Source organism: Homo sapiens, chromosome 9 (assembly GCF_000001405.40).
Source record: "Homo sapiens chromosome 9, GRCh38.p14 Primary Assembly".
Classification (NCBI taxonomy): domain Eukaryota; kingdom Metazoa; phylum Chordata; class Mammalia; order Primates; family Hominidae; genus Homo; species Homo sapiens.
Window position 1 is genome coordinate 40,332,402 of NC_000009.12, and position 14,992 is coordinate 40,347,393.

General features: G+C 40.1%; 2 pseudogenes; both read right to left on the reverse strand.

Moving 5' to 3' along the window:
* LOC100419690 (zinc finger protein 114 pseudogene) lies at positions 585-1,293 on the reverse strand (annotated as a pseudogene).
* CNN2P2 (calponin 2 pseudogene 2) lies at positions 13,546-14,684 on the reverse strand (annotated as a pseudogene).

Consider the following 14,992-nt stretch of genomic DNA (forward strand, 5'->3'; position numbering starts at 1 on the left):
CTAAGACAGATATCTGTCATCTTGTACCATTTTTTAAGAAAGGAAAAACTACAAAATTATGAATTTGAGTTATAATTGAGGGATAAGACAATGATAAAGTCAATAATTGTTAACGTTTACTGTGCTTCAGTCCTACCCTGTGCTCATTCATGCCCAATAAGTGAAGAGCTGGAACTGAAAGCTTTCTTATATTTATTCAATTGTAGTCTCCCTCCAGGGTGTGGAATCATGTATAAAGGAGGGATAGTGTTTAAAGAGGTATTTTCTGCATTTTTTACTTCCATAAGCAGTCTCTGCTGTGTGAGTTCTTGTATGAACTATGAGTCTGAGACAACACTGAGGCTTTTTTCATATTCCTTACTTTCATAGCTTCTCTCCAGTGTGAGAACAAATATCTACTCACGATGAATGAAGATGAAAGGCTTTCCATAGACTTTACCTTCAGAGGGTTTCTTTTCACACTTCTGTAAGATAGGAGAGTTCAGGAAAGATGTTCTCATGCATGTTAACTCATTGAGCTCCCTTCCAGTATGTCCTCCTCACATGTTCAGTACGGTGAAAAATTAATGATGATTTCCCTGCCACTCACAGGGCTTCTCACTATTGTGAATCTTAAGATGGCTTTTAATTCTGGTGACTTTGCAAAGTCTTTTTCACATTTATCACATTTATAGGGTTTCTTCCAGTGTGACTCCTTATATGTGCATGTTTTGAGCCTTGCTGAAGGCTTTCCCACATTCCTTACATCCATAGGGCTTCTCCAGAATGTTCTTTCTTAAATATTTATTAAGGTGTAGGGAATATCTAAAGCCTTTCTCACTTTTGTTACATTCATAAGGTTTCTCTCCAGTGTGAAGTTTCATATGTCTCATAAGAAATGACTGATAACGTAAAGGCTTTCCTTCATTTGGGACATGTATGGCTTTTCTCTCCAGTAGTACTACTCCTGTGTGGACCAGAATTTGGAGCAGGACAGAGGTTTTTCCACTTTGATGATTCTTATTCTTCATCTCTACAGAACAGAACTGCATCTGGACAGCATGGACTGAGTTATTTCTGAAGATGTTTTCACATTGAGTAAAATTATACATTTTCTCCCTAACATGAGTTATGTGTGCCCTAAGGCACATGTCTTCACTACAGGCTGATTCAAATGGACTCCACTCATGAATGTTTGTCCTTGTATTAATTTTACTATGTATATGATGGACATTGTTCTGACTGCCTGTCCATGTGTTTGATTTTAGCTGTTTTTCTCCCATATGAAACCCAGTGAATGTTGCACTTCAAGACTATCATGTTGATTGTTTTCATATATATTACTTTATTGCAATAGTTTTTGGGAAACAGGTGGTTTTTGGTTACATGGAAAAGTTATTTAGTGGTGATTTCTGAGATTTTGGTGTACGCATTACTCAAGTAGTGTACATTGTACCCAATGTGTAGTCTTTTATCCCTCACCCCCCTAACCTTCCCTCTGAGTCCCCAAAGTCTATTAAATCATTCTTATGCCTTCACTCTCTCATAGCTAAGCTCCCACTTATAAGTGAGAACATACAATATTTGTTTTTTATTCCTGAGTTACTTCACTTACAATAATCATCTCTAACTCCATCCAGGTTGCTGCAAGTGTCATTATTTGATTCATTTTTAGGGCTGAGTAGTATTCCATGGTGTATCTATAACACATTTTCTTTGTCCACTCATTGGCTGATAGACATTTAACCTTGTTACACATTTTTGCAACTGTGAGTTGTGCTGCTATGAATGTGCATACATGTGTCTTTTTCATATGACTTCTTTTCCTCTAGGTGGATACCCAGGAGTGAGCTGATACTAATTTAAATAGAGATAATTATAAAATAAAGTAATGACCAAGTGAAAATTACCATTTCTAGTAGTAAAACAAGATACCTTTATTGAGTAAAGCTTGAACATATTTCTGCCCACATAAAGGACATATAACTTTTGTATTTTGTATAAATGATATGCTTTATCTCACTAGACTCATCCTATGGTTAATTGGTGGGGGATGGTTGGAGAAAGTAACATATCTTTAAATTTAGCTTCTTGATTCACATTTTTCTTCAAGTTTCAATAGCTCTCTTTTAGTTAAATGCCTCCAGGAAGATGTTCAGATGCTTTGGGCTTTCTGTGGCCTCAAGGCAAAGGGAAAGTGAATCTGAAGTCTCTTATTGTCTTCATGCTGTTCTCTAGACCTCTGCTTTCTCTGTGGCAGAGGGTCTCTCTGGTCTGATCGCTGGGGCCATTGCATTGCTATTCTCTGAGGTGAAGCTTGTACTCTCGCATCAGAGTACAGTGGAATTCTCTTGCTTTATTAGCCTCCTGTTGGCTTGGATAAGATCTTCAGATCTCTGTGAGTTTCAGCATCCTTCTTCCACAGTATGTCTGGAATGGTCACATGGGACTTTTTGGCAGGATCATTTTGCCCCTTGGTGCAGTGGCCCCATGTTATGTATGTTAGTTTTCAACTCAGTTAAGTTGCTTCTTATTTACCTCTATGACACTTCCACATTGCATAGATTCATAGGTCTAGTAGGAGGTTTTTTATATAAACCAAGCTGCCAGGAACAGAACAATGCTCGCACAGTAAGTCAGACAAACCAAATTTATTACTCACAGAGGAGCAGGAAGAATCAGCAAAACCGTTAAGTTCTATGGCAAGCCTGACCCTTGAGGTCAGAAAAGTTGCCCAGGGTTGGTGGAGTCTCCTCTGCACATGCCCCACTGTGTACTGCGCTGAGGAACCCCTGAGTGCTCCGCCCTAGGTTTCACACCCCACGTGCACCTTGGCTCTCTGAGTTTAAGGGCTGCAGTAATATCCTGTTCTAGGAACAACAAGGACAGAGCCCAGACTGTCCCAGACGGTTTCTACTCATCTCAGGATATTGTCTTCTTGGAACATTCTAAAGTTATTCTGAGAACTAGGAGGTACAGAAAGCTGAGTTGGTCAAGGCCATTCAGGTCTTGTCCTCCTGACCACAGAAACAAAGTAGACTATAAAACAATAAGCATTGGCAGAAGTAATCATATTGCATTATGATAGCCATTCTTCATTATGATAAAAAGAATTTATCCTCCAAAAAGTTATCTGAGTTCTAAATCTGAATGAACCCAGCAAAACATAGATTTGGGACTGTTGTTACAGTTTAATAAAATATATACTAAACCAATAAATTTAATTAAATACATAAACTCTAGAAGTATAAAAATCATAAAGGCTCATTTCAGTAAAGGTTGGCATACAAAGTTATCAGATGTATGACAGAGTAATAGAAAATGTTGACACTGCTTAGGGCAAAGTGAATATGATTGATATTCAGATGAACAAAGAAGATAGTAAACTCAATAGAAAAATGGGCCAAAAAATTCAATACATTGTTAACAATCTGACAAATGCAAATGTACACAAATAAAATGAGATCTGTATTTTCACCACTTGCTTAGAAAATATAAGAATCCTAGATAACATTGAGTGATGAGGATATGAGGAAAACAAGCTTTATGGGCAATGGATGGAAAATTAAATGGTTTTAACCATTTCAGAAAATAACATGACAGGACCCATTTGAAAGTATGCATACTCTACAACCTGTCTCGATGATGGGTACATATCCCTGATATAATTTGGATGTGTGTCCCCTCCAAATCTCATGCTAAAATATGATCCCCAATGTTGGAGGTGGGGCCCAGTGAGAGGTATTGGATCATGGGGTGGATGCCTTATGAATAGCTTAGCACAGGAATGTCCAACCTTTTGGCTTCCCTGGACAGCATTGGAAGAAGAATTTTCTTGAGCCACACATAAAATACACTAAAAATAGCTGATGAGCTAAAATAAATAAATACATAAATAAATAAAAATAAAAAAACCACACACACACACAAACACACACACACACACACATACACAAACTCTCTTTTAACAAAGTTGACAAATTTGGGCCACATTCAAAGCTGTCCTGACCTGCATTCAGCCCACAAGCTGTGGGTTAGACAAGCTTGGTTTAGCACAATCCACTTGAGTGAGTTCTTCTCAGTGAGTTCATAGAGATCTGATTGTTAGAAACAGCCTGGGACTGCCCCCTTCTCTCTCTTACTCCCTCTCTGACCATGTGACACACTGGCTCCCCTTCACCTTCTGCCATGATTGTAAGCTTCTTGAGGCCTCACCCAGAGCAGATAGCATTGCTTCCTGTGCAGTCTGCAGAACCCCGAACCAAGATAAACCTCTTTTATTAAAAAATAAATAAATAAATTACCCAGCATTGGGTATGTCTTCATAGCAATATAAAGAGACTAACATAGCCCCTGACAAATTGTAACACATGACCAAAAAGTGTTTTCATAAGGATACCATAAGGAAGTGAATATTTCAGTAGCAGGATATCAGTGTGAATTCTACTGCAAGACTGGATAGGGAAAATGTGGTTGATTCATTTTATTGAAAACTATGCAGCAGCTACAGGGGAATAAACAACCAAAAATAACCTACAGCAATGTGGGAATGTATGAAGGATGTTATGCTCTGTGAAAAAATTAGAAATAAAATTAGATTTATAGCACAATACTCTTTAAGCAAAATGTATACACTCACGTATATACACATACACACACTCAGAAAACAACCTTCTTATCTTGTAAGAATTCTTTAAGAGTAAAGAACCTATATCAAACACATTAGCATGCCTGTCTGTGACAAGGGATAAGGAATAAAAAAATGAAACAAGTAAAACCAGAGAAACTTGTAGGAAACAATAATGATAATGTCTCATGAAGTAAAGAATGTGATTAATTTTTTGCAACTGTGGTATAAAAACAGATTGTCAAAATCAAATGTAATGAGCTTTAGCATAGAGCTTATTGTAGGGAAAAAATCAAATTTAAATACTTAGTTTATATAGTTTGATGCAGGAATGGTCTCCTATGTGAAGTAGTAAGATACACTAAACAATCCATGGGTGTATGGGAAGAAAATACTCAAAATGCTACTTACATTTATTTTTTACTCATTTTTCCAACAGTTTAATATCTAAATGCTAGGGGAGGCCAGATGTGATGACTCCCTGTCATTACACCTGTAATCCCAGTGCTTGGTTGGAGAGGGTGGGGGTCAAGGCAGGAAGAACACTTGAGGCCAAGAGTTCTAGACCAGCCTGGGAAACCTAGTCGGTTTTTGTGTCCACACACAAAAAAATTAAAAATTAGCCAAGCATGATGTCATGCACCTGTAGTTCCATGTACTGGAGAGGCTGAAGCAGGAGGATCACCTGAGGGAGGAGTTTGAGGCTGCAGTGAGCAATGATTATTCCACTGCACCATAGCCTGGGTGACAGAATGAGACCCTGTCTCTTAAGTGGAAATAAGTAAGTGCGAGGAGAACACGTGATCTTTCTAGTTTTCAGTCCCTCTTGCAGTTCCCTGTAGATTATTTTGCTTATTCCCAATGTTCCAGCTGTCTGCACATTGTAGGCTTGTTCTTCTACCTACTCAAGGCCCCAGATCCAGCAAATGTCCTCAGAGATGGGCTCTGCTGCTAATCTGTGATCACCAAGGAAGGGCTTGTTTTTCTCTGAAATTTAGTTCATTGACACTTTAGACCCACAATTTTTTGATGGCTTTAAACAAAAAAAAAATAATTTTTTAAAGTTCATCCGATATTTTCTCATTATGGCAGGAGCAATTGTCTTTGGTAACTTTATTTTAATTGGAAGAAGAATTTCTAACATTGGCATTGTAATGAGGTTTTTGGTCTTTGACCCTAGTGGAGCAATTAAATCCACGTCTATTTCTTCTGTTATGCATGTATTGAAGGATCAAATGAGAAAATATATGTAGAGTGCACAAAGTGTCTAATGTACACTAGTGATATACAGTTGTATTATGACTACACACCGAAAACACATAATCAACCAGATTGCTTCCTGAGAACTAGAGCCAGGCTTTTCCAATGATACTTAACTGTCAAATAATTCTATTCAATTTTTCATGGGACTTAGGGTTTGGTCCATGAAGTGCTGCCACAGTATGCAAATCAATTATATCAATAAATGTGCTAATTTATTCAGCAAACGTATTCTTGTAGCAATAGTTACTCAATGAAAGAAGTAACATATTTAATTTCTAGTAGAAGCTACTTCTCTCATTGTGAACTCGGTACAAAGCTTGAATGCTCTAGCTATTTTGAGGAGCATTAATAAGCATTACCTAAAGAAGATGATATATTCCCTAGACAACAAGAACTCTTATTTCTCTTTATCTTCTTTTTGATAAATGCTACAGTCTCTTGGTAGTGAATCCAGATTCTGTGGTGTGGGGAAAAGAAAGAGAGATCAGACTGTTACTGTGTCTATGTAGAAAGAAGTAGACATAAGAGACTCCATTTTGTTCTGTACTAAGAAAAATTCTTCTGCCTTGAGATGCTGTTAATCTGTAACCCTACCCCCAACCCTGTGCTGGCAGAGACATGCACTGTGTTGACTCAAGGTTTAATGGATTTAGGGCTATGCAGGATGTGCTTTGTTAAACAAGTGCTTGAAGGCAGTTTGCTTGTTAAAAGTCATCACCACTCTCTAATCTCAAGTACCCAGGGACACAATACACTACACACTACGGAAGGCTGCAGGGACCTCTGCCTAGGAAAGCCAGGTATTGTCCAAGGTTTCTCCCCAAGTGATAGTCTGAGATATGGCCTTGTGGGAAGGGAAAGACCTGACCATCCCCCAGCCAGACACCCATAAAGGGTCTGTGCTGAGGAGGATTAGTAAAAGAGGAAGGCCTCTTTGCAGTTGAGATAAGAGGAAGGCATCTGTCTCCTGCTCGTCCCTGGGCAATGGAATGTCTCGGTGTAAAACCGGATTGTATGTTCCATCAACTGAGATAAGGAGAAAACTGCCTTAAGGCTGGAGGTGAGACATGCTGGCTGCAATACTGCCCTTTAATGCACCGAGATGTTTATGTATGTGCACCTCAAAGCACAGCACCTTTTCTAACCTTGTTTATGGCACACAGACATTTGTTCACATGTTTTCCTGCTGACCCTCTCCCCACTATTACCCTATTGCCCTGCCACATCCCCCTCTCTGAGATGGTAGAGATAATGATCAATAAATACTGAGGGAACTCAGAGACTGGTGCCAGCGTGGATCCTCCATATGCTGAGTGCCGGTACCCTGGGCCCATGTTTCTTTCTCTATACTTTGTCTCTGTGTCTCTTTCTTTTCTCAGTCTCTCATCCCACCCAATGAGAAAAACCCACAGGTGTGGAGGGGCAGGTCACCCCTTCATGTGGGATGTACAAAACAATCCTCCACAAATTTAAATTTATGCCTATGATCATGTGTAATGAAATTAGCCCTCAAGAGCCAACTTGAGACCATGTTCAGAATGAAAGCTTCAGAAACCCATGGCAAACACATGAATATAAGGCCATTTTAGACACAGTCCCCAGATTACCTCTGAATTCAGTGGGGAAAAAGTGACAAGGAGCAATATTTAGGGCATCTAGGATAGTGCTACCTTCTCATCCCTAACATAAGCCAAATTAAAACTTCATACTAATGCTCTGAAGCCTAATAATAACTAGTAAGGTTTATGTCTGTCAAAAAGCCACTGCAGGCTACTGTTAAAACCAGCTACACAACCATCTGGAAGACATTTGCCTCCTTCTGGTTAAAAACAGTCCCATGTCTACTGATGATGTAGTTAAGGTTGTATCAAGATCTTCTATCTCTCAGCAGGGATGTGGTTTCCCAAATGCTAATATTTGACCAACAAAAGTTTTGCAGCCAGAGTTTGTGCAAGTATTGGTAGATAGAAAATACAAAATCCAACCATTTCTCATGAATGATTAAACAAAAAAAAGAATGCAAGAAGCCTGTGTGCATGTGCGTGGGTATATATGCATGTGTGTGTGTGTATTCAGGTTTGTTAACTTTATTAACTTTGTTTAAAATTTAATTTAAAAATTAGATTGGGGAGTAAATATCATTCTTCCTCTCTCATCATAAAACTTTTGGCTCACGGGATTCTGACATTCCATCATGCTTGGAAAAGTTGGATTTATGAAACCAGTTGCTGGACTGAGCCTGCCTATGCAGCTCTTACATGGGTGCTCCCTATTTTGTGCACAAGCATCCTCAAGAGACCAAAGATAGTGATTGAGAGAGACGGGCTCTGAAGTCTTTTTATTTCAACTTCTTGGAATCACCACCTTGTTAATGAACATCAAAATCTTTTGTGTCATTTATCAGATTAATTACTTTTTCCATAAAAAGAGTGAGTTGAGAGGATAACAAGAAACTCCCTGTCCCTGCTTCATCCTGAAAACAGGAGAATCAATATCTTAACTCTGTTTTTGAGAGATGAATGGGTAGGTCAACATTGCTTGGCTATTTGTCCTTCCATTTGGGACAGATTACCACTGCACTTTCCCCTCAATCTCTAGAATCATGGCTTATAGAAAACAATTTTGTACTGAATTACTAAATGCATCAAAACTTTATTAGACTTATTATCAAAGAGCATGCTCAGATGTATCTATTATAAATAGTAATAAAAATATAAAAACCTAAAAACAATATTATAAATAACAGAGAAAAGCTATGCACTGTTATGAAAGCCTTTCATATTTAGGGATATCAGGTAAGGTTTCCCTTGGTGGGGAAGATGAAGAGCAAACTAAAATAAGAGTAAGAGCTGGCTGGGTGTGGTGGCTTACACCTGTAATCCCAGCACTTTGGGAGGCTGAGGCAGGTGAATCACGAGGTCAGGAGATCGAGACCATCCTGGCTAACACTGTGAAACCCTGTCTCTACTAAAAATACAAAAAAAAAAAAAAAATTAGCCAGGTGAGGTGGCAGGCGCCTGTAGTCCCAGCTACTCTGGAGGCTAAGGCAGGAGAATGGCATGAACCTGGGAGGTGGAGCTTGTAGTGAGCTGAGATCACACCACTGCACTCCAGCCTGGGCAACAGAGCAAGACTCCATCTCAAAAAAAACAAACAAAAAAACCCAGTAAGAGCTAATTATATAAATCTGGGATGGTAGTGGGAAAAGCATATGAGTAAGAAGACCAAAGTCCAGGAGACAAGAAGAAATACATCTGAATCATTTAGTTCAACAATGTTCATGCCACAAGAGGGGGGAAAGAGAAAGGAAACAAATTTTGTACTGCTTGAACCCATTTTTGGACTCTTGCTATTTATCCTAGTACTAATGTGAAGTCTTTGGGAGTTTTTAAGCAAAGCAATTTACAATGCAAATTGTATTTACATTTCAAGTAATCATTCCAGATATAGCACAGAACCATTTTTGGAGAGAGAATCAGGGAGAGCACTTTAGAGGTGTGCACCATAGCCCAGGTGAGAGAGTGATGGGCTGGAATCCATGATGGCAATGAAGATAGAAAGAGAAAAATTCATTCAAGAAATAGAGAGAAGGTAAAATCTGACAATACTTGGTGATTTGAAATGGAAATGTGAAGAAGAAAATGTCAAAAATTAATTGAGATGTCAGGTGTAGGTAGAAGTTGACATCATTTGCTGCAAAAAAAAAAAAAAAACACACAAGAAGAATACCACTTTTAGTGAAAGAGACATCTAGGTTGCTTAAAGTATGAAACAGGACTTTTCCAATTTCATGCAGGTAAATTAGGAGGGCTCAACCTTGAAGCACAAAAGATGGTGATTATGGTAACACTGGCCTTGAGACCAGGACCTGTATCAGACTCTAGAAAGATCAGTGTGATTTGGAGCTGCTACAGACTGGAATATTTCAGTGAAAAACAAAACAAAACAAAGCATTCACTCTTATTCTTGCAGTCTTGTTTTATTTGAAGGAGTAAATAATTGGGCCTTATTCAGAGCTGCAAGTTTTGGTAAGCCCTAAAATGAACAAAAAATTGTATAAAATGGAAACAATTCACCAATTCTATTCACTTAACATTTTCTGATTTTCTTCCAGGTTTAAGTATTATGATAGGCATTGTACAGTAATTACTTTATTGACCATCTTCTCTGGTGTTTGTATTAATACACAAAGAAATCTAACTTTAAAATTGTAGCATTGCTTTCAGCTGACACCAATCATTACCCGTTATCCCAATTCATTAAATCAGATTGTTTCAGCAATAAGTTACATTTTGAAGTTAACGAAATACTTAAAAGGCTGTGATGTTGTAGCTGCAGATGTAGTATGCAAAACACATTTGATTCATGTCGTTCAGCACAATTTCATCTTAAAATCTTATCTACAAAACATTTTTACACATCTATTATTCTCTTGCTTTATGTAAAGTTTATGTCATTTATCTCTATCAAATTAAGTTACATTTCTAGTTTTTCTCAACCATAAAAGACAGCATTAATTTTTACAAACATTAATGATGAACTATATTCACTCATAACTATTTATGTCTAAGTCATCTTAGATTTACTGAACAATTTCTGAGTAACTAATGGCTAGCCTTTTATTATTCTATGATGATAAACATTTTTACAGTATCCAGGCTTCAGACATATTTTTGAAAACATTTCTATATGGGTCAAAATTTAAATCAGTTGTAATATGTGATCCACTCAAATATATTCTCCAGGATGCGCTATTAAAATGAAATACCGAGGTGGTTCCCCAAGACACCAATTTAAAGTGTATATGTGCAGTGCAGGGTTACTGGACCAAGGCACAGTGTAAACAGTGAAATTTTATTTTTTGTTTTCTTTTTCCTAAGATGTTTCTTATTCCCCATTATATAAAAATATGTATTACAGGCAAAGAAAAATTAACACGAATATAAGTAAATATAAAGTATATTCACATTAATATCAGCTTTGCTTTATCTATTAAAGGATGTAACACACTTGTGGTTTTCAGGACCTTGTAACTCCTGGTTCATTGGAAAGCATAGAAATTCTTCAGAGCCTCAAGAGTTGTGTTTAACACATTATTTAAATAGTGTCCAACCACTAGTTAGATAGCTTAGCACTCAAATAGCCTTTGAAATCTCTGTAGACTCACCTCAATTGAGGAGTCCTGATAATTTACAGAAGTGTGTAGTGCACTAAGAGATCCCTGATGGATAATGTCTTTGCCTGTGGAGTGTTTTATGTGTTGATCCACTGGAGTGTGTGTGTGTGTGTGTGTCTGTGTGTAGGTGGGTGAGTATGGGTGGGCGTGGATTGTGTGTGTGTGTATGTGTTTACACTGTGGTATGTGTCTGTTGGGGTGCCACCATTTGGGATTTGGAAAAGTGAGGACCATAAACTTGTCAACATTCCTACATGCCTGCTTCATAAGAAGTGTACTGAACATGGCCAAAAGTAACTAAACCAAGTAAACAAATTAGACATTAATTAAATTTAATGCTGGGCGGGAAAGAAGTATTCAAGGCCAGGTAAAATGAAGAAATATAACCAAATGAATGAAATTTTTAGATTGATTCATAGAATGAGACAGGAATATTTTTTAAAATTTGTAGTTTCTAATGAATAACAGCATATAAAATAAGAATCATATGGCTGTCAATTGACTAAAAACTGTACATAAGATTTGAGCTAGTGAAACAACCATATATGATCTTCTAATTCCACTTTTCTATCTCAAGAATGACTTGTTAAAATGATTTTTTTTTTGAAATTTTACATTCTCATCTTGAAAGAGCTTCACAAAACTTACATGAGAATCTGGATTGTCATAAGAGGTCTGATTTTTTAATGGTATGTTTGTATTTTTGTTATGTACATCAATGTCAAGCATTCGTTTCCTGAGCTGTTCTCTACAACACAATTTAACTTGTAATGGACACTCAGTAAATGGTCGGTTGGATATTCAAATCAACACCTTAGTTCCATCAATTTTCACTTCATATAAAAATGCCTGATCTTCTATACTCACCAATGAAACAGAGAGAGATGAAGGAGGGAGAGCAGTTGAGACTGAGAGGATGACAAGCAGACCTCATTCTGCAGTGGATTTCCTACACTCTCCACTTCTGAATGCTTGGAAACACTTGCCATGCTCAAAAAATATTGGTATTTCCTAGGCAGCAAATGGGAGTTAAAGAAAGTCCATATTTCTATATTACAATAACTTACACTATAATACACAGATGGCATACATTTCTAAGCTATTTCAGTTCACAGAAAATGTAGATAAATTTAGGTGAGCAAGATGTAAGAGAAGGGTTAGTAATCAAGCTGAGTGTGATTGTGAGATTAAATCTAATATTATCTTATACAATTATTGTATAATTGCATCAGTTGACATATCTGTTGAAACAGAAGGTGGGAGAGTTTTGCATGCGCTTCCGAAATGTACTGGATGATGTTAGGAGAGAGGCGGGTCAACGTGGCTAGGCCATAAGTGTTTACTAATTGAGGCTTAGGAAAGTTAAGCTCCTAACCAGAGACTGGGAGATAGAGGCGCTAAAGTGTATAACATTTATATTTAATATATAATTAATAATACATAATAAAGTCTTAAAATGCCAGTTTTAAGTCTTTTCATTTTCTTCTTAAAAAACAGAGGTTTTATTGCGTTTGGTCCACAGTCGGTATTTCACATTATCTCATAGCGCAGGGCCCCTGGGTGGAGGGCTCTGTGTAGTACTTGGCGTGGCCTGGGGCCGGGAGAGATAGAGCAGTAGACCTGGTCAGGCCCGGAAGGGGAGAAGGAGGGCCGGGGCTCCTTAAGACCTACTGAGGGCCTGGGCGCGGTGGCTCTCGCCTGTCATCCCAACACTTTGGGAGGACGAAACAGGCGGATCACATGAGGGAAAGAGTTCCCGACCAGCCTGGCCAACATGGTGAAATCCCGTCTCTACTAAAAATACAAAAAATTAGGCAGGCGTGGTGGTGGGCGCCTGTAGTCTCAGCTACTCTGGAGGCTGAGGCAGGAGAATCGCTTAAGCTGGGAGGCTGAGGTGCAGTGAGGCGAGATTACTCCACTGTGCTTCAGCCTGGGCGACAGAGTGAGACTACATCTCAAAAAAAACAAAAAACAAAAACAAACAAAAAACCCTACTGAGGGCCACGGGGGTGGGGGAGCTAGGATGGAGAGGGGTCAGACTTAATCCTGGCAACTCAGAATTCCACTAACTTGTACGGGTCTCAGTTTCCTCACCGGGCCCCAGCATAGGTCTGAGGGTCTGAGGTCTGTCGGTCTGAGGGTCCTAGGGAAATCCAGCCACTCAGGAGCCTGAGATATTTTAGCATCGTGGCTGGGCCCCCTCTCCCAGGGGACTCATTTCCCAGCACCCTCTCCACTGTCTCCGCCCCATTCCTCGGAGAAGAAAAAAATTTTCTTTCTTTTGTTAATACTTCCTGAAACTTTTGCAGGTACAGAAACCACAAACTGATCGGCTGACAAAAAGGGGAAGAGGAGAGGCAACCAGAAACCTTCGGGGACTGGTTCCCTCCATGCCCAGGTCTCTTCTCCCCAGCACAGCTCAGCCCACAGCCTGGAAGTGCCAGCGGGGACCTTCACCCTACACGCATCAGGATATGGCCTTGATCCCTTCCCCCACAGCCCGGTGTCTCAGTCCTGCCAAGGAACCAAAGCAAGAGGAGGTGGGGAAAAAACCCTGCTGCCTGATCCCACGCTGCCACTCACAGACCCTCGGTTGACTGGCAGCACTGAACAGGTTAAAAAAAAAAAAGATGAAAACACAGAAAAACCCAACACCCAGACGGGGAGACCATGTGTGGAGAGAGCGTGCTGGGAGCCTCAGTAGCCGGTCTCCTCCTGGTAGTAAGGGGCCTCCCCTGGCCCTGGGCAGTTGCCGGCGGAGGGAGCCCCGTGGGCCACTGGGCCACCTGGCTAGTACTTGGGTTCGTATATTTGCCGGCCTAGGCCAAAGACCTGGCCGCTGTGATTGGCAACCTACGTGTAGCCCATCTTCAGGGACATGGAGGAGTTCTCACACTTGTCGATTCCCAACTTGGTGTCATAGATGTGCCGCTGGGTCCCGGGAGCCGTCATGCCCACCTGGCTGGCGCACTTGTTTGTACCCATCTGGAGGCTGATGGTCGAATTGTCCATGGGGGGCAGGATGCGGTTCTTGGGGTCGTAGAGATGCCTCCTCGTGCCATATGCGGTCATGCCTGACTGGCTGGCACATTTGTTGGTAATCTGCAGCCGGATGACGCACTGGCTGGCCTTCATGGTGGTGTCGTCGAAGTTCTGCTTCTCTGAGTACTTGTCACGGATGTCCACCCCGCTCCGCAGCCCCTTAGTCTTGGCCTTCCCTGCCAGGGCGAGAAGAGACACCCGCACCTGCATATTGTTCCCACTCTCAAACAGGTTGTTGGCCTCAAATAGGTCCACGGGATCATGCCGTAGCTGACCATTGCCTTGAGGAAGTTGGAGAGGTTTTCTAGCTAGTGCCAGTTCTACACGGAAGCCGTTGATCTTGGGGACTGAGCCCGGCTGCAGTTTGTTCACGAGTGTGCATAAAATAATCCCGTCCTTCAGGCCCTTCTGGAAGTCGGGGCGGATGGAGAGGCCAGTGAATCCCTTGATCCAGCTGCGGAGCTCTGCCTCCTTCTGGGAGTCATATTTGGGCAGAAGCCTGTTCTGGACGTCCGCCAAGAGCCTGTAGGAGGGGCCCTTGTTGAACTGCGTGGAGCTTACGGCTGGAGGGCCACCGCGGGGCGGATCCGACAGGACCAGCGGCTAAGTCTTTTTTCTAGTTCGCAATGTTTTGTTTTCACCACACCATTGTTTTACTACATATTTTATTGTATGTGTATTGTGTTAAATATACATTTTGTGTATTTAAAAATGTGTGGAAAATGTTAGACCATCTCCCTTTTTTCCACCTTCCCTTTTACCCTTTACTGCCATTTACATCCACACATCCACACACACATACATCCACACATCCACACACACATACATCCACACACACACATACTGACCAAAATTAATTTCGATATACGAATGGGTTATTTGAAGCGAAAAGTCAATCTATATTA